The 20732-nt window shown below is 35.8% G+C and overlaps 1 protein-coding gene across 20 annotated transcripts in view; it reads left to right on the top strand.

Moving 5' to 3' along the window:
- COL24A1 (collagen type XXIV alpha 1 chain) overlaps positions 1 to 20732 on the top strand; it is a 427752-nt gene that overhangs the window by 25984 nt on the left and 381036 nt on the right. For all 20 annotated transcript variants that reach the window (NR_146340.2, NR_146341.2, NR_146342.2 and 17 more), the window contains 3 exons: positions 4787 to 6156; positions 15623 to 15676; positions 18381 to 18434. Coding sequence is in view for 13 of the 20 variants with exons in the window: in XM_047417004.1 (XP_047272960.1) it covers positions 4787 to 6156; positions 15623 to 15676; positions 18381 to 18434 (1478 nt within the window). In the remaining 7 variants the exon portion in view is untranslated. The remainder of the gene's footprint in view (positions 1 to 4786; positions 6157 to 15622; positions 15677 to 18380; positions 18435 to 20732) is intronic.

The raw sequence follows: 20732 nt of genomic DNA, 5'->3' as shown, positions 1-20732 counted from the left end.
AATCAATTCTGAAAAGTCCAACACTCGGGAAATGTTGTTCCCGTAAACCTTCTTGAGGAAACTAATAGAGGATAAACTTCAGCCAAAGAGAAGTGATTGGGGAAGCTACTACAAAAGTCTGGCTCTATTTGTCAAAAGAAAATGTGGGAAAAAGAAAAATATAAATGCCATACAAACTAACAATGTAGGAATGGTACAATTACAGAAAAATGGTAGGAGAAGAGAGGAAGAATAGGAAGAGTAGATTAACTTTGCTGATTGCCTTATCTGAAGAAGCTGGGAATTAAATATTTTACAGTTGGTAAATTAGATGAAAGAAATATAAGGATATTTAAGAATGAAAAGATAAACACTATGAAAGATACTCCTATAGACTAATATTAGAAGGTATGGGAAAGGGTTAAAGGGAGGAAAATAAAACATTGTGTAAAGGAAAGAATTAATAGATATGTGTAATGAAAGGACTGGGGGCATTATATACATTTAAAATTTTAAAGGAAACCCTTAGAATAAAAATACAAACCCTTCTAAATCTCAAAAGGCATACACAAAGCAAAGCAAAGGAAACAAACTACATAGTGAAAGACTTCAAAAAATTAAAGTGGTAAAACATAAAATAATACAACAGATTAAACAAACCATAATATTAGCAAATGTAGATAGATTTAGTTTATACATTCAAAGAAAACAATTCAGACTGGATCAAAAAACAAATACAATCCCTTTGTCTTTACCTAAAACATAGTGTTTCACAGTAGATGAAAACAAAAACAAAGGCAAAGGTATATCAGACAAATGTAAACAAAAAGAAAGTCAGATGAGGGAAGCTTAGTCTTACTACCAGTTAAGGTAATGCCAAAAATATAAAACCCAATAAACTAGACATAGAAGGTCTTTTTGTAATTCTGAAAGGTGCAGTACTCAATAAATATGTGAACTGCATGATTATCTATGCATAAAAACCATGACATCAATATTCATAAAGCAAAGACCACAAGAGAGAAAAGGCCAAATAGACACACTACTGGTAAGATACTTTATCTCTCAGTTGATGGCAGATTAATTGTACAAAAATAAACAAGAATATAGAGGATATAAATAACATAAACAATGAGGTACAACTAACTGGTATGTATTAAATTTTGTACCTTCAAACACCTTTCCGAGTGCTTATGAAATGTTATTGAAAATTGACCACTTATGAGGCTAATTGAGTTTTGAAAAAGAAAGTGCTGATTAGACACCATTCTCTGATCATAATACTATTAAGTTAGATTTTAATAACAAAATCAGAAAACAAAAAGACCTTCCTAACTGAAAATTTAAAACTTTTTTCTTAAACCACTTGGGTCAAAGAGAAAATACAAATAAAAATACTTTCCAGAAAACAACAAAAATGAAAATGCTACATATCAAAATCTATGGGATGCAGCTAAAGCAGCACTCAGGAAAATGTATAACTTAAATGCCTTCATTATCAAGCAAGAAAAGAAAAATAAAGGACTAATTATTCATCTTCAGAGATTAGCAAAAGAGTAAAACAAAAAAAAATGGGAAGAGATAATTAATAAAGATAAATTCTAAAATTAATGATAGAGAAAATGAACAAAAATAGTAGATAAATAAATCTGAAGGCTGTATACATTTGAAATGACCAATAATGACAGACTTAAGAATAAATAAAGCAAAATAACCAAAATTAGAGAAATGAGACAGAGGGCCACAGACATAGGAAAACAAAAATAATTGTAAGGGATTATTATGTGAAGATTTCTGGGTAATACATGTAAAAGCCTAGAGGAAATTTATTATTTCATAGAAAAATATAAATTTCTAAAATTGTCTCAAGGTGCAGTGGAAAATTAGACTAAATCAATTAACATAGAAGAGATTAGGAAAGTGAATGAAGCACTATCAATGAAAGAGCCAACATGATCAATTTGGTTTATAGGTGAGTTTTTGTAACTTTTTGGGAAAAAATGTAATTTCAAAGGTTACTGAAATTGTTTTAGGCTATAGAAAATAATGAAATTTCAATTTTATTGTCTGATAAATATAGGACAATAAGAGAAAAACACTGACCAGTCAACTCATACATATTGATGTAGTGATTCTACATAAAACTATTAGTCAATAATCCAGTGAGATACCAAAAGAATAACGTAAAACTAATAAGATTTTATTTTAGGGATGCAATCATGGTTCAATAACAGGAAATTTATTCAGTAATAAGTGTTCAAACACATTTGATTTTTAAAAAACAGCTATTTGTCATCAAAGCTCCACTAAAAATAGAATTGGAGGAAGCATATTAATATACATATAAAGAAACATTGAAAACACACATATGCTTTTTAAAGTTTTCAAATAATACTCCTCCCAATGATATTTCTGTATAATAGGGTCAGAAATTCGAAGCACTAGATGGCAGGGGTTCTTAATAAATGCAAGGGGAGATGTTCTTGGGGCAGCGTGCAGCCCTTGATATACCACATGTATGATTATTTTTTACATATGTAGCTTATTTGGTATCTCAGAATTATAGCTTTCAGATACTTTATGATCATATATACTTTAAATTTAAGCATTGTGATTTCCACAGAAGCAGGGTTCCTTCCATAGTTTACTTCTCAGATTGAGCTAGGCATACCTTTAGAGTTAGGTAAACCTGGGTGAGGATATCCAATGTCACAGACTAACATAGCTAGTTTCGGCGGTGTAAATTTTCACTGAAGATTGGGGATGAGTACAATTAGCTGATTTAGCTCATAAGTAATTTATATTGTATATTGAAACAACCAGCCATATTATGGATTAAAGTTTAAATTTTGTGTGAATTATGATGATAAAACATAAGAAGTCAAAGGTATTTTTTTGTTGATTATGTGGGGCCTCTTTGAAATATGTCCCTAAATTCCTGGAGGTGCATATAATTCTACACTGGTGTTAGGAATATTTTGGTGGAAAAGTTTGTCATACAATATCATAGATACAAATATTGCTATCCTTTAAAAATGTCATGAAATTACAACTATTTTATTGATAAAATGATGGTTGTTCTAACCTTAAAATAAAACACTTGAGTGTTTTGTGAAGATCTCTGTTAAAAAACATTTTAATTGCATTGCTAGATTACACAGGAATGGCATTCAGTAATTATTTCATTGTTGTACACAGTTGTGAGACTTGGGAAATGAGATTCTCTCCTATCTTTTGCTATTTGTAATAAGCATGCATTATCAAATATCTACTAATTTCCTACAAAAGGAAAAAGTAAGGTGATGCCAAACGTTCCTGGCTAATCTTCAAAGACTTTTATTTTTTTCACTTATCACAATTCTGTAACATTTCTGGTTGGAGATGATTATATTTATACAAAGATACAGATGGGAAATTTATAACCCAAAGAATAATAAAGATCATGCAGCTGACTATGCTGTTCTGTATTTTAAAGACAGAATTTGTCATTCTTTTTAAGTGATATTTAAATTTATATGACTCCAGAGGTGAATATGAGACCTGGTCAGATTGCTGTGGGACAAATTCATTCATTCTGAAATTATAGAACTATTTGCAAGGAAGGTGCTGAAGAGATCCAATAATGAATCAGACATATCCAGTTTTCCAGAAGCTTTTAATTGGGTAAAGGAGACAAACAATATACTATTGGTAATATTACGATGAATAATAAATCAGAGAAATCCACAATTATATCAAATCCATATTATATAAAATGCGTATTACATAATAGATATTGAAAGAGTCTAAAAGTTGGATAAAAGTTACTCTGGAGGACTGGAAAAGTGGAAGAAAGAGAAGCTTGGAAGGGACAGAAAAACCAGAGTGATCACCAATAAAATGAATTTAAATTCTTTTGTCCGGGAATTATCAAAGGACTTTGGTAACCAGAATACTTTAAGCGTAGCACACACTTAAGGTAGTAGGCATTGGGAAAGCTTCCATGCAACTTGTAAATTCCCAGAAGGTTAGAAGGAAAAACAGCCTGAAAAATTATACTTTAAGGGATCGTGTGAACCTAATTTATAAAATGTTTTCCAAATCACAATTATCTTTGGAAGTATGACTCCACTTTCACTTTAACACAGATTTCATTAAATTTTAAGTTCTAAATCAAAGAAACAAATGGGATCTGGGAATCTTTGAACATGTATATTCATTGAAGTGACAAATAAGAATCAGTAAAATGGAAAACAAGAGAGATAAACTAATTAAATTTTGGAGATCAGGCGTGGTGGTTCACACCTGTAATCCCAGTGCTGTGGGAGGATTGCTTTTGCCTAGGAGTTCAAGACTATCCTGGGCAATAGAGCAAGACTCTGTCTCTATGAAAAATACAAAAATTAGCCAGGTATGATGGCATGCCGTTGTAGTGCTGGCTACTTGGGAGGCTGAGGTGGGAGGATCCTTTGAGCCCCGGATATCAAGGCTGCAGTGAGCTATAATCATGCTGCTGCACTCCAGCCTGGGTAACAGATGGAAACCCTGTCTCTAAAATAATAAATAAACTAATAATAAATAAGTTTTGGGTTTAGAGATTGGTGTGTGTGTAGGGGGAGGGGCATGTACTTTATTCAAATTATTGAGTATAATGTCTTACTCTCCCCCTCCCTATTTCTTATTACCCATAATTAGTTATTGATAGAACATGCTTATTTTAGAAACTACTGTTGCTACAAGGAAGATTTTTATCATATTCAAACATTTATATGAACACTTGAATCCATAAAATTAAGATTCTTTCTCTCTCTCTTTTTTAAATTTCCAGGCATAGATATTCTTCATCAACTAGGCCTTGGAGGCAAAGACGTAAGACACTCATCACCAGCGACTGCTGTACCATCAGCATCTACACCGTTACCTCAGGGGGTCCATTTAACAGAATCAGGAGTCATTTTTAAAAATGATGCTTATATCGAGACACCTTTCGTGAAAATTTTACCAGTCAACTTGGGGCAGCCGTTTACAATATTAACTGGGTTACAGTCACATCGGGTGAACAATGCATTTCTCTTCAGCATTAGAAATAAAAATAGACTGCAATTAGGAGTACAATTACTACCTAAAAAATTAGTAGTACACATTAGAGGAAAGCAGCCTGCAGTTTTCAACTACAGTGTTCATGATGAGCAATGGCACTCATTTGCCATTACTATTAGAAACCAAAGTGTCTCAATGTTTGTTGAGTGTGGAAAGAAATATTTTAGCACAGAGACTATTCCAGAAGTTCAGACCTTTGATTCTAATAGTGTGTTTACTTTAGGAAGTATGAATAATAATTCTATCCATTTTGAAGGAATAGTATGTCAGTTAGATATTATTCCTTCTGCAGAAGCATCTGCAGACTACTGCAGATATGTGAAACAGCAGTGTCGCCAAGCAGACAAATACCAACCTGAAACAAGCATTCCTTGTACAACTCTCATACCAACAAAGATACCGGAACACTCTCCCCCGCCCAAACTATTTGCTGAAAAAGTACTGTCAGAGGATACATTTACTGAAGGCAAAAGCATTCCAAATATCATAAAAAATGATTCTGAAACCGTGTATAAAAGACAAGAACACCAGATATCAAGATCTCAGTTATCTTCTCTTCAGTCAGGAAATGTCTCTGCTGTGGATCTCACAAACCATGGGATTCAGGCCAAAGAAATGATCACTGAGGAAGATACTCAGACAAATTTCAGCCTGTCAGTGACCACTCATCGCATCAGTGAGGCAAAAATGAATACCAAAGAGAAATTTAGCTCTCTCCTAAACATGTCTGACAATATCACACAACATGATGATAGAGTAACTGGTCTGTCACTGTTTAAGAAGATGCCATCTATTCTTCCACAAATTAAACAAGATACAATTACTAATCTCAAGAAGGCTATCACAGCAAATCTACACACTAACGAACTCATGGAAATGCAACCAATTTTAAACACAAGCTTGCATAGAGTGACAAATGAGCCATCTGTGGATAATCACCTTGATCTAAGGAAAGAAGGTGAATTTTATCCTGATGCTACTTATCCCATCGAAAATAGCTATGAAACTGAGCTTTATGATTATTATTATTATGAGGATCTAAATACAATGCTTGAAATGGAGTATCTGAGAGGGCCAAAAGGAGACACTGGACCTCCCGTAAGTTTTTTTTTTTTTAATATCTCCTAATATGCTAACTTACATTTTAAACTCTCTTTAAAATACATTTTAAAGAGAGTTCTCTGGACCAAACAATACATAACAGATAAAGTCTGTCATGGAAATGCATTCTGGCACAGTAAATGAATTTATGGTTGCTGTAACATATCTGCCAGAATGTAACCCTGGCTCAAATATCGTGCTTTTGTTCTTCATCTGGTAGGCTGAAAGGTGACTTAATTCTGGTGAAGTAGTGGGCAAACTATTTGTTTTTCTTGTTCAGTTGAAATTCAATCAGGATTTCAACTGCTAAATATAGATAATATATTTATATTTTGAAAACCATAGGAGAATGCATAGTCATGTTAAGAGAAGTATATAAAAGATATGGTAGGTTAAAGAAAAATACATTAAATACATCCATTAAATATTCTTACAGCAAAATAGCATCAAATGGATTAAAATAGAGTGTAAAACTTACTTTAGATAGAGATTATTGTGTAATGAATCGTTGACTGTCTTTAGTGATATGGTCAATTTATGTTTATGGGTTAATTAAAGCTCCCCTTGCCTAACACAAAAAGAACCAGTTATCAGTCAATTCAGTGAGGGGAAAAAAACAACCAAGGCACTTGTTTAATATCATGTAAACAAAACTGTGAGATAATAAACTGAACTTTTCAGCCCTGAATTTCTTTTGTTGTATAGGTGGGAATTAGAGATCAACATTTAAAAATTTCTAAAATCATTTAAAAACCACTTAAAGTCATTTAAAATCACAGTGTTGGAAATATTCTTTTTATGCTTCATATTTGTATACTTAAATTTACCTTTATGTCTTTAGAAATTATTTTTTTTCAAAATTTCAAGTAGATTAAAATATATCTTAAAGTATTTATTTAATGAAAATAAAATTTGAGTCTTTGGCTTAGCTCTAGAAATCATAGAATGGGAGAAGGTGAAGCCAGTCTTTTAGCTTGTGTTTCCTTTGTGGTTATTCCTAGAAGTGATTTGATAGGTATTGAGTCACTCTTGCTAGAGTAAATGTTTAGACATTTAAAAATAAAATATGAAGACTATACTATTATAGAGAAATAAACTCTTCAACTATGACAATTAATTATCAACATATTGGTCATAAAATTGAATCACTGGACATATAATATTAAGCAAATAGTTATGGAAGCCATTTACTTTCTTCAGAAAAAGTCAGTCTGATCAGATGAGCATTAATCTCTTCTGTAAATTCAAAAATAGTCATTCAGTATTGGCAGGTGAAGCAGTAATATTCAGCAGATATTTACTTAGTCTCTGCTATAAGCAAAGCAGGAACACAAAGTATGTATAACTCAGTAATTGCTCAGAAAAAGCTTATATTTCATAATGAAGATAAAGGAAGTACATTTATAACTATTTAATATATCTTGTAGTAAAGTAGGATAAATGCTGCAGAGAGATGCAAAGTAAGTGTATGGGCTAGAGATGTTCAAAGGTTAAAAAAATAGTATTTTTTGATGGAGTCTCTATGAAAGGTCACTTAAAGCTGAGCTATTCAGAATAAGATCTTGTGGACAAAGTTAGTTATGACCTAGGCTCTAAGAATGGGTAAGATTTTGACAGGTGAGAGGAGTAGGTGAGTTTTTTTTATGATAGCATAATAGCTATCATTTATTGAGTTCCTTGAGAAAGATGCTCTACCAGTCTCTTTACATATATTATCTTAAAATAACTTTGTAAAGTTTGTAGTGTTATCCTCATTTTTCAGGTGAAGAAACTGAAGCCCAAAGAGTTAATTTACTTTCCCACAATGACATTGTTGGTAAATGATAGAGCCAGGATTTGAATCCAGGTTTTCTTCCTCTAAAGCAGACAGATAAAGATCCAAGCTTGATGGTGTCAGGTTGTGGGCATTCTTAACTGTCAAATGATCATTCTAACTTTATCTTGTTCTCAAAGGGGAATTTTGTAGGTTTCTAAGCAGAGGTATTAATTGGAAAATCGGTCTGGTAACAGTGTCCAGGATACGAAGTTTCTGTTACCATCTTGGTGTTAAAGGACTAGAACATTATCTAGGTTGGCAGCAGTGAAAATGCAAAGGAAAAGTAGGATTCAAGAGATTTTGTAGGAAGACTTGGTAGAACTAGGAAATTAATGGGACCTAGGGACCAAGCAAAAAGGAAAAGAATAAAAGATGACTATCAAATTTTAAGCCTGCAGATTGAGAGAATGGTGATATCATTATTAAAAACTGTAATTAAGAGGGAAAGTCAATTTTAGGAGAGAAAAATGAAACATTTAAAGAGCTGTTGGTAATTAAGCTGTTAGAAGAGTTGAAGAAGCTGAAGTAAAGAATAGATGTCAAGGCTGGGGATATAGATTTGGGAGTATTTCTATTGACTTTTATAGTTGAAACTATAGAGTTGGATAGATTTTCAAAGAGAGGAATGTGGCATAGGGTCACCAGTCAAATGAGGGGGATGTTTGCTTTTTGGTTATAGAAAGAAAAAGCAGAAATGTGATGAGAAGTCAGAGAGATAGGAGAAAAGAATAGTGATATCAAAATATGAAAGAAGCAATATCAAAAAGCCAAAGAAGAGACTTTTGAGAAGGAATTGATCAGCAGGGCCAAAAGAGACAGAGAAGTCAAAGAGAATGAGAACTGAGAAAAAGCGATAATCTATTGGATATTTTGATGAAGAAGTCATTGTTGAACTTTGAGAATCCTAACTTCAGCGCAGTGTAGAAGACTAAAGGTAGATTTTAGAGAGATAATGAGAGACTGAATGGTGATAAAATAATGAACTTGTAGGAATTGCCTTACTGCTTCTTGAAGTAGATGTGACTCAGAAGCCTGAAGCCAGCCTGGTTTTTCCTACTTTTAAGTAACAATTTTTTCCTGCCTATATACCCATGCAGTTCTTTATCTTTGAAGTTCTTTAAACCTATTAGGTTCTGAATCAGGTTTTTGGGGGAATACTCTTTTGATCAGAAGATTATTTTGATCTGAAGATTATAGAAAGACCTCCCCTTATAATAACCAAATATTGGTTGGTTCCATTTTTCTAAATTCTTCAGGCATACAAGTTTGCATATGTTAAATGTCATTTGTGATGATGAATGGTATTTATTATCTTTTCTACAACCGTGTCATCATGATTGCTCTTTTCCATTTCATTTTGTGTGAACTCATTTATTCTATATATTCCTATCCCTTCATTGATTTTTAAATTATATTTAATCAGTTTTTATTGCTCTGACATGGCTTTCATCAAAGAGTTTCTTTTTTGCTCTTTCATATTTTTTAAATCTTTCACAACTCTTCTTTGAACTTTATTTTTGTACGTTAATGTCATCTTGACATTCTTTGAATATGTAGTGACCTATATAACTGAACTCTTTATCTGTTGTATGGAGTAATTCCTCTTCTGGTAAATAATTTTTTTCACATTAACGATTATTCTCTTTATTATGTGCTAATAAAAAAGGATACTGTTAGTGAATTAATGCTTTAAAAATTCATGTTTAAACAATGGTACTGAGTAGAATTTTTTTTTATTATACTTTAAGTTCTAGGGTACATGTGCACAATGTGCAGGTTTGTTACATATGTATACATGTGCCATGTTGGTTTGCTGCACCCATTAACTCGTCATTTACATTAGGTATTTCTCCTAATGCTATCCCTCCCCCTGCCCTTCACCCCATGACAGTCCCCGGTGTGTGATGTTCCCCACCCTGTGTCCAAGTGTTCTCATTCTTCAATTTCCACCTATGAGTGAGAAAATGAGATGTTTGGTTTTCTGTCCTTGTGATAGTTTGCTCAGAATGATGGTTCCAGCTTCATCCATGTCCCTACAAAGGACATGAACTCATCCTTTTTTAAGGCTGCATACTATTCCATGGTGTGTATGTGCCACATTTTCTTAATGCAGTCTATCATTGCTGGACATTTGGGTTGGTTCCAAGTCTTTGCTATTGTGAATAGTGCCACAGTAAACATACATGTGCATGTGTCTTTATAGCAGCATGATTTATAATCCTTTGGATATATACCTAGTAATGGGATGGCTGGGTCAAATGGTATTTCTAGTTCTAGATCCTTGAGGAATCGCCACACTGTCTTCCACAATGGTTGAACTAGTTTACACTCCCATCAACAGTGTAAGAGCATTCCTATTTCTCCACATCCTCTACAGCACCTGTTATTTCCTGACTTTTTAATGATCGCCATTCTAACTGGTGTGAGATGGTATCTCATTGTGGTTTTGATTTGCATTTATCTGATGACCAGTGATGATGAGCATTTTGTCATGTGTCTGTTGGCTGCATAGATGTCTTCTTTTGAGAAGTGTCTGTTCATATCCTTTGCCCACTTTTTGATGGGGTTGTTTGATTTTTTCTTGTAAATGTGTTTAAGTTATTTGTAGATTCTGGATATTAGCCCTTTGTCAGATGAGTAGATTGCAAAAATTTTCCCCCATTCTGTAGGTTTCCTGTTCGCTCTGATGGTAGTTTCTTTTGCTGTGCAGAAGCTCTTGAGTTTAATTAGATCCCATTTGTCTATTTTGGCTTTTGTTGCCATTGCTTTTGTGTTTAAGTCATGAAATCCTTGCCCATGCCTGTGTCCTGAATGGTATTGCCTAAGTTTTCTTCTAGGATTTTTATGGTTTTAGGTCTAACATTTAAGTCTTTAATCCATCTTGAATTAATTTTTGTATAAGGTGTAAGGCAGGGATCCAGTTTCAGCTTTCTACATATGGCTAGACAGTTTTCCCAACATCATTTATTAAATAGGGAATCCTTTCTCCATTTCTTGTTTTTGTCAGGTTTGTGAAAGATCAGATAGTTGTAGATGTGTGGTGTTATTTCTAAGGCCTCTGTTCTGTTCCATTGGTCTATATCTTTGTTTTGGTACCAGTACCATGCTGTTTTGGTTACTGTAGCCTTGTAGTATAGTTTGAAGTCAGGTAGCGTGATGCCTCCAGCTTTGTTCTTTAAATTTATTTTCCTGTCCTCTCACTTTTCCCCTCCTCCAAATATCTATTTATAAATCCTCTACTGATTGCTCTCTGGTTATTATTCATTTTTAAAATAAAGGCAACTGTATCTTGGTGATTTGTTTCAGAATGGTATATGGAGAGGCATAGGGAAGTAAGGTGGAATGGTACACAGAGTCAAATTTAGATTGCTGCCTAAAACACCATCTTACCATATTTGTTTTGTCTTCTACCCAGAGGCATGTGTCGTCTCATGTTCATGCACAATTTGTTGCGAAACCCTTTGTATCACAGGCTGTCTCAGAAGTGATAGGGGGATTTGTGCTCTTCTTGTCTTTTGTCCCCTCTCACCAGAGAGGATTCTGGTTGTAGAACATAAAAAAGGTATGTTCTTCTTCAGCTCCACCTTTTCTACTCTTGTCTCTTTGAAGTTGGGTTTTTACTGGGTCATGAATCATATTTCCTGTGGCTTGCACATTCCCTTAAACCTTATCATAATCAAAAAAGTGGATTTTCAAGACTAATATGTATCCAAGGTTTGAGGTCTGAGGAGTTTTTTGGATTTGGTTATCTCTCAACACCTTCGCTCCAAAGTTTCTCAGTATTGGGCAGGTAATCTTCATATTTTGTGGTTTGTGGTTATGATCCTTTCGTTTTTCACTGGAGATGATGTTTTCTTCTTTTGGTGCTTTTTGTTGTTTACAGCTGGTTTTGAGGGAGGGAGAGTAGTCTGCAAAATGTTCTCACTCTGACATCTTTTACCAAAATTCTCTAGTGTTCTTTTAAAAAGATGAATCAGATAACATTGTTTATCAGCTTAAGTTCTTCAGTGGAAGAAGGTTATAGCACTTAAACTCAAACTCTGTATCCTGACCTGTGCAGGTATGTGATATGGCCCCTGCTTACCTCTGCAACTGCCTCTTGCCCCACTTTTCCCCTTGCTCTATTAGTTTTTCTTTTAATTCCTCAAAATGACTGTGTCTTTTATTAGTTTTGTTTTGTTTTACTCATGGCCTCATTCATTTATTCCTATCTTCTGAAATTTTATTTTCTTCTTTTTTCTAGCTCCCATTAATCTTTTAGGTCTAACTAAATACTTCTTCAGAAAAGCCTTCTCTGACATCACAATATAAATTAGGTCCACCATATTAACCTCTTTCTTGGTTGCCTTTTCTTTTCCTCCATGTCACTAAGTAAAATTTGTAATTATGTATTTATCTGTTAATGTATGTCTTTTTATCTAGACTGCAAACTCCAGGAGGGCTTGATGCTTTATAATATTTATTGAGTGAGTGAATGAATAAATTAAAAAAGGAATGTAAGATGCAGGATTTCCAACATTAACTGACCAGGGATTATTATCTTTTAGAAGTATTGGACTATTGAATAGATTTACCTTAATGTATATATTATCCTAGTAATAATAATATCTAACATTTACTCAGTGATTGCTGTGCCTTATGCATACCTTAAAAAAGTTAATTAGGCCAGGCACAGTGGCTCACGCCTGTAATCCCAGCACTTTGGGAGGCCAAGGCAGGGGGATCACAAGGTCAGGAGTTTGAGACCAGCCTGACCAACATGGTGAAACCCCGTCTCTACTAAAAATACAAAAAAATTAGCTGGGCATGGTGGCACGCACCTGTAATCCCAGCTACTCGAGAGGCTGAGGCAGGAGAATTGCTTGAACCCAAGAAGGGGAGGTTGCAGTGAGCCGAGATCACGCCACTATACTCCAGCCTAGGTGACAGAGTGAGACTCCATCTCGAAAAAAAAAAAAAGTTAATTAGACTACTGTTTACTGGTTAACTACTATCACTGCCAAGCACAGTGACAGGTATTTTATATACAATAGCTTTAATACTCACAATAACCCTGAAAGGTAAATTTCTATCATCAATATTTTAAAGGTGAGGAAACTAAGGCTTAGAAAGAGTAACTGACTTGTCTAAGGTTATTCAGCTAGTAAATGATTGAGGCATGATTTGAATCTACATTGTATGATTGCAAAACCATTACTTTTTAAATGGAATTGTACTTTCTCTTAATAACAAATAATCTGAAAGTTAAAGTGCCTTTTTTAGTACTTAACCTTATTTATAGAAAATAATTTATTCTCAAAAATGTCATGCTATAAAAATTATGATTCTTCTCTGGTATCTAGAAAATGCCTATTAATACTATGTTGTAAAAGATTTTGAAACCACAAAATTATGAAGACATGTGAGAATTGATTTTAATTTAGTGCTTATCAAACAATTCAAATATTTATATCATGACATAAACTATACCTCTTTTTCCCCCCAGTATCTAATGTTAATTGCATCTTAGTTAGTTCAGGCTGCTGTAACAAAATGCCATAAACTAGGAGGCTTATACACTATAGAAATTTATTTCTCACAGTTCTGGAAGCTGGGAAGTTGAAGATCAAAGTGCTGGCATGTTTGGTAGTTGGCCAGGGCCTGTTTCTGGTTTATAGATGGCACCTTCGTGCTGTGTCCTCACATGGTGGAAGAGGAAAATGAACTAACTCCCTTATGCCTCTTTTACAGGACACTAATCCCTGACCCATCACCTCCCAAAGTCCCCATCTCCTACTACCATCACTTTGTTTAGGATTTCAACATACGAATTTTGGGAGGACACAAACGCAAGCCATAGCAAACTGCCTTTCCAATGTGAATGGAATAGTGTTTTCTTTTGTCACAAGTAGTGAGACAGGACACTAAACCAAACTAGACATTTTTAAAGAAAACTTTTCATTTTCTTTTTCATTTTAGTTGCGATTTCTCCTACTGGCTCTTATTTTTGGGGACATAAATTCAAATCAACAGCTGCTAAATTTTTAATTATAACAACAGGACCAGAATTAACTTGAAAAGAAAGTCAATTTTTCTTGACAATGAGTAAAATATCAAGATTTGATGGAAGCTAGTGATATGATAATGGCTGCTAAAATATTTGAACAGCTGAGGAAGGAGAATGCCCTCAGTTAGGGGCTGAATAGAAATAGCATTTCTCTCTCAATATTAGGAAATACATGAAAAGTTTTATAAATTTAGGGGGTAAGAGAAAAAAGTGCAACTAAAGGAAAAACATGGACAGTCTGAAATATCTAATGAATATCAGAAAACTGCAAATGACTCTAATAAAAGAGAAAGTTTCAAGGAGTAGTTAATATCAAAAAATGTGAGATGAGAAATATGCAAAATAACTGTTATTTTTTTCAACATAATTTACTCATTTCCCTCTTGTGTTTTTGAATTGGAATGATCCTTTCCCATCAATCCATTTTCCCTCTCCTCCTTTGAAACTCAATGTACATTTTAGGTGTACCTGGCCATGCTGCAGATTAAACTGTATGAAATTATGAAATTGTAGGTTAAAAAACTGTCACATATTGGAAAGTACATATGATTTAACCTGGATTCATCTCTTTATTTTATGTGCAATCAGCATAGATATATAAAAATTTTACAATAAAGAAAAATAAAGCACATTAGGTCACAGTGCTTGTTACTGGTGAGGCTAGTATTTTAACCCTGATGTGTCTAATTTGAAATCGTGTACTATTTTTACTGCAATAATGAATGAATATTTGTTAAGTGGAATATGTGTATGGTATGCTCTATAGACACCAAGAACAATGCCATATCACAGAGTGCTCAGTAACAATTGAATGAATGAACAGATGAATGAATGAATATGTGTTCAACCATATCACAAATGAGCATTTATTATTCCACAGTTGATTGTTAAAGTAAGTGAAGAAGACAACATAAAACATTATATGGAGAAGTAAAGAAGTAGTGTCCTATTTCTTATTTGATATGTTTAAAAATTAACATTTAAATAACTCAGAACACTGTAACAATTGATCAGTTTTTGCTTTCATACTTTATTTTATAAATCATTTAACTCTATTAGTGACTTCCTGGTGTGCTGCAATTGGTATAAGTCAGATTTATTAATGGATATACAAGAAGGATTTCATTATAACAGTTTAACACATTACACAGATCCTTGGTATAATTCTTTTAAAAGTACATAAAATGGCCAGTGTTTTCATTTTTCAAAGCAAATCTTCTTCTGAATTGTGTTTGAAAAAAACTTGTAGTTGTTGGTCGCCAAACCCTAAATTGAATTCCTTCTTCCATAGTAAAAGTAAATTTAGGTAAAAAATTACCCACAAAACTACTAGTTGTGGTCCCTTTAAAAACCAGATACGGTGGCTGTAACCATAAGTCATAGACTTCCTGCTGCCATTTCTGGCCAGATTAAAGGGGACACTTGAGTTTCAACTCACCCCTGCTGATTAGGGTAAGGGGGTTCGTGTTACTTAAAAATCATCACCAGCTGGGAACTGGGGACTGAAAAAGAGTTGTCTTTGGGTGGAAATCTTATTCAGACTCGTAAGAAAATAAATGTGTCCACTATCATGCCTAATGTCTTGACATTTGTTTTCCAAGGGTCCACCTGGTCCAGCAGGTATCCCAGGTCCGTCAGGGAAGAGAGGTCCACGGGTAAGTAGATGGGCTATATTTCCTGCTGGCAGTGAGAATTTGTAACTTTCTAACATGTTTTTTCTAGTATTGTACAGTATGTACTTCCTTTGGAAACCTGCCTGGATCTTCAAACTTAGTCCTACCTTAGCCAATTCAAGAGAAGCTTAAGAACACATGCAGCCTAGTTTATTTTGAGTGTAAACACACAGCCAAAGCATTCTCTGTGAACGTGTCCAACAAAGATGATCAAATGTGTAAATTAGTGGCTGTTCTGGTGCTACTTGTAACATTATTCTTACTTATAAAGTGATCGCAATATCTAAGGTGAGATTCATTTGTTTGGGGAAATGAAGAGGGGTGGGCTGCCTTAAAATAGTACATTCCTGGATTACATAGTGGAAAATTCTGAAGCTATTGACTAGAAAATAACTGCCCTGAGGAAAAAAGCTGCATTAAAGATCAGCAGTAGTTTTTCATGTTACACAGGCCCAACAAAAGACTTATTGCTATGTTAAAATTAGTTTCTCTCAAACCTAAAAAAAGTGTGGATATTTTACTACAAAACATCTTTGTTCAATGAGCTAGAAAAAGAATTGTATGACAAATGCAAATACCTTTTATATAATCCACTTTATTTTTATTCTGATTTTTATTTAACATACAAAGATTATAAAGAAAAATTACTCTAAAATATTACTTTAAGTTGTCCATAGTCACATCAAACTCTTGTCCATTTGAGGCCTAAGATGAATTCTCATTGGGCTCTAGCTGTTTTGCATTAAAAAAAATTCTCTGTAGTTGATGACCTATCACATTTCTTCCATAGCCCCTTCTAAACCTTGCTCGTTCTCCTCTAGCCCATGAACCATTCCTATCCTCCTACCTCTCTGTGAGAATTTGGATCCTATTTTTCTGAGAAACTGGGCCAATTTTCATACTAATTCTATTCCCTATCCACTGCTAAGGTTGTACTCTCAACAGCATGAACTTCAGGTTCAGAATCTCCATCTGTTCTCATAATACGGCAGTTTACTTTTTTACTTTTATCTTCCCTAATTCACTTTTTATCTTCCATTTATTTGTCCAATTCTCATTCTCTTAAGGAAGAAAGAGTGTTTTGCTCAAGGCTAGTTATTTTACTTGTGTTCCTAATTTCACCTCATCTAACTTAAAAGTTGCAACTTTACATTTTTTCTCTCCCTAAATTTTATATTATTTGGCAACAACCAACAAGTTATCCCTCTTTTATAAATCCCAAACTTTCATTGATATTAATTTTTCCTAAAGCTATTGTTTTGGCTCACTGTTGTTTGTACTACTGAGCTTTGTGAAATAATAATTTATATTCCATTGTCCTTACTTTTACATCAGCAACTTATTCATTAATCCCCATAGATGTTTTCCATCTACTTTATTAAAATGTACTTTTTGAAGGTTACCAATGACATAAGTCATAACATCTAACCATTTTTTTCTTTCTTTTTTTTTTTTTTTTTTTTTTTTTTGTGAGACAGGATCTCACTCTGTCACCCAGGCTGGAGTGCAGTGATGGGTATCATAGCTCACTGTAGCCTTGATCTCCAGGGCTGAAGCCATCTTCTCACCTCAGCTTTCTGATTAGCTGGGACTACAGGTGTGGGCCACTATGCCTGGCAAAGTTTTTTGATTTTTGGTAGTGATGAGGTCTTGCTGCGTTGCCCTGGCTGGTCTCAAACTCCTGAGCTCAAGTGATGCTCCTGCCTTGGCCTCCCAAAGTGCTAGAATTACAGGTGTAAGCCACCACACCCAGCCAAAATTTAATCTTTTTTCTTTAGTTTTCATCTTGCTAGATGCATTTTCAATATTTGCATTGCTGACACCTCTGTCTTCCTGAAGTATTCTGCTCTATTAATTCAGAATTAAAAAGACAAATAATTATTAACTATATGTTATGTCTTAAGAGGGAGGTATGGCTGAAGAGCACAGAAGTAGGGTACAAAATTGAAGTAAGCATAGGGAACCTGGAGACATGGAAGGCTTTCTTGGAGAGGGTGATCTGTTCCTCTACTTACTGGTTGTATGCGCTTAAGTTTCCGGATTTTTAAATGGGAGTAAAAATAATAACCTTGCAGGATTGTTATAAGGATTAGTAATGAGAAACACAAAACATCAACACAGTTCCTAGCACATAGTAGGTACTCAGAAAATAGAATCAATTTTTGAATTCAGATTATATAATTTATCAGTGATGCAAAATCAAATTGCTAAATATTAATCGAGTGTAACCATTCAATGTGTTAAGTGCTACACTAGTAATATTTTTAAGAGTCTCTTTTCAAAGAATTTATAATCCTGGGGCTAAATAGAACATGTCATAAGGCAGTTAGAACAGCAATAAAGTATTTAAGTAACAGATTAGAACAGTATAAGAAATGTCCTGAGGCAATATACAATTAATTGGTAAATGAATTTTACATGAAGAAATTTCTACGGAAATTAGTAGGAGAGAGATATTGCTTCATGTTCTTGTGGCTAGGATTTAAAAATGAGTTGAGATCTGAAGAAAAATTTGGGTAGGTATAGGGCATAAGCTGAAGTAAGTAGGTCTTTAAGGCATACATAATAACATAAGCAAAAACTCAAGTGCTTAAAGGGATCACACATGTTGAGAGGAAAGTAAGCAATTGTACTTTGTTCCATTCCAGTATGTTCCAAGAATGATGACTTTTTTCGTTACTTGCAGGGCATACCAGGGCCACATGGAAATCCTGGTTTACCTGGATTACCTGGTCCAAAGGTAAGTGACTACTAATCAGGCAACTTAAGCTAATGAGTATCACCTGATTTTCCTGATATTAAAAAGAAGATCCCTAACATTTAAGGCAAGTCTTGATACATCAAGGATCTCTGTCACCTCCAGAGCATGATTCTTCAACATGATTGTCTTAGCCTGGCAGAGAGCTAGGTTCCTCTGAAAGCCCACCATACTTGGATTTATATTCTTAGTAGTAAAATCAGGTATAGGCCTGCTTAGTATTCCAAAATCATTGTTATCAAAAATATGATGGCAATGTATGGAAACCTCTGAAATATAAGATTATGATTTGAGTAATTTACCTTAAATTAAGGTCGTTTTAATTTGTAAATAAACACCAAGGAAATAAAATATTATTTACCTGCTCCACACTTCCCTAATTATTTTTACCTGAAAAAAAACCGAGGATGTTTAAAGAATGAACAAATGTTTATGAAAACAACTAACCTGAAAATCTATATATATGAGCGTACATAGTTGTATGATAGTCATATTGTGTCCGGAATTGGTGGGTTCTTGGTCTCACTGACTTCAAGAATGAAGCCACGGACCCTCGCGGTGAGTGTTACAGTTCTTAAAGATGGTGTGTCCAGAGTTTGTTCCTTCTGATGTTCGGACATGTTCGCAGTTTCTTCCTTCTGGTGGGTTCCTGATCTTGCTGGCTTAAGGAGTGAAGCTGCAGACGTTCATGGTTAGTGTTACAGCTCTTAAGGCGGCGCATCTGGAGTTGTTCGTTCCTCCTATCCGGAGTTGTTCATTCCTCCCGGTGGGTTCGTGGTCTCGCTGGCCTCGGGAATGAAGCTGCAGACTTTCACAGTGTTACAGCTCATAAAGGCAGTGCAGACCCAAAGAGTTAGCAGCAGCAAGATTTATTGCAAAGAGTGAAAGAACAAAGCTTCCACAGTGTGGAAGGGGACCCAAGCCAGTTGCCCCTGTGGGCTCGGGCAGCCTGCTTTTATCCCCTTTTCTGACTTCACCCACATCCTGCTGATCGGTCCATTTTACAGAGAGCTGATCGCTCTGTTTTGACAGGGTGCTGATTGGTGTGTTTACAAACCTTGAGCTAGACACAGAGTGCTGATTGGTGCATTTACAATCCCTGAGCTATACACTGAGTGCTGATTGGTCCATTTACAATCCTCTAGCTAGACATAAAAGTTCTCCAAGTCCCCACTAGATTAGCTAGACACAGAGCACTGATTGGTGCATTTACAAACCTTTAGCTAGACACAGAGTGCTGATTGGTGCATTTACAATCCTCTAGCTAGACATAAAACTTCTCCAAGTCCCCGCCAGATTAGCTAGATACAGAGTGCTGATTGGTGTATCCACAAACCCCGAGCTAGACACAGAGTGCTGACTGGTGCATTTACAATCCTCTAGCTAGACATAAAAGTTCTCTAAGTCCCCACCAGATTAGCTAGATACAGAGTGCTGATTGGTGCATCCGCAAACCCGGAGCTAGACACAGAGTGCTGATTGGCGCATGTACAATCCTTCAGCTAGACATAAAGTTCTCCAAGTCCCCACCATACTCAGGAGCCCAGCTGGCTTCCCCTAGCGGATGTCATGCAGGGGCAACGGTCGGAGCTGCCCGCCAGTCCCACTCCACTTGCCGGCACTCCTCAGCCCTTGGGCAGTCGATGGGACCAGGCACCACGGAGAAGGAGGTGGAGCCCCCACTGGGGAGGCTTGGGCCGCGCGGCAGCCCATGGGGTGTGGGGGGCGGGGGTCGGGCATGGTGGGCTGCAGGTCCGGAGCCCTGCCCTGCGGGCAGGCGGTTGAGGCCCAGCGAGAATTCGAGCGCAGCACGGGCGGGCCATCAGTGCTGCGGGACCCAGCGCACCCTCTGTAGCTGCTGGCCTGGGTGCTAAGCCCCTCACTGCCCGGGGCCGCTGGGAGTGTGGGGCCTGCCAAGCCTGTGCCCACCCGGAACTCGCGCTCGCTCGCGAGCGCCGCACGCAGCCCCAGTTCCTGCCTGCGCCTCTCCCTCCACACCTCCCCGCAAGCAGAGGGAGCTGGCTCCCTCCTGGGCCAGCACGGAGAGGGCCTTCCACAGTGCAGGGGCAGGCTGAAGGGCTCCTCAAGCGCGGCCAGAGTGGACGCTGAGGCCAAGAAGGCGCCAAAAGCAAGCGAGGGCTGCTAGCATGTTGTCACCTCTCAATATGATAGATAACAGTGTGATAAATAGTAAGAACATAGGAAAACGTATGGAAGAATACAGGTACACAGGTTGGTTACCTTGAAAGCATGGGAATGGAGATATCACTAAACATAAAA

The sequence above is a fragment of the Homo sapiens genome, chromosome 1, assembly GCF_000001405.40.
Source record: "Homo sapiens chromosome 1, GRCh38.p14 Primary Assembly".
Taxonomy (NCBI): Eukaryota; Metazoa; Chordata; class Mammalia; order Primates; family Hominidae; genus Homo; species Homo sapiens.
The sequence above is the reverse complement of the archived record's forward strand: the minus strand, read 5'-3'. Positions and strand labels throughout refer to the sequence as shown.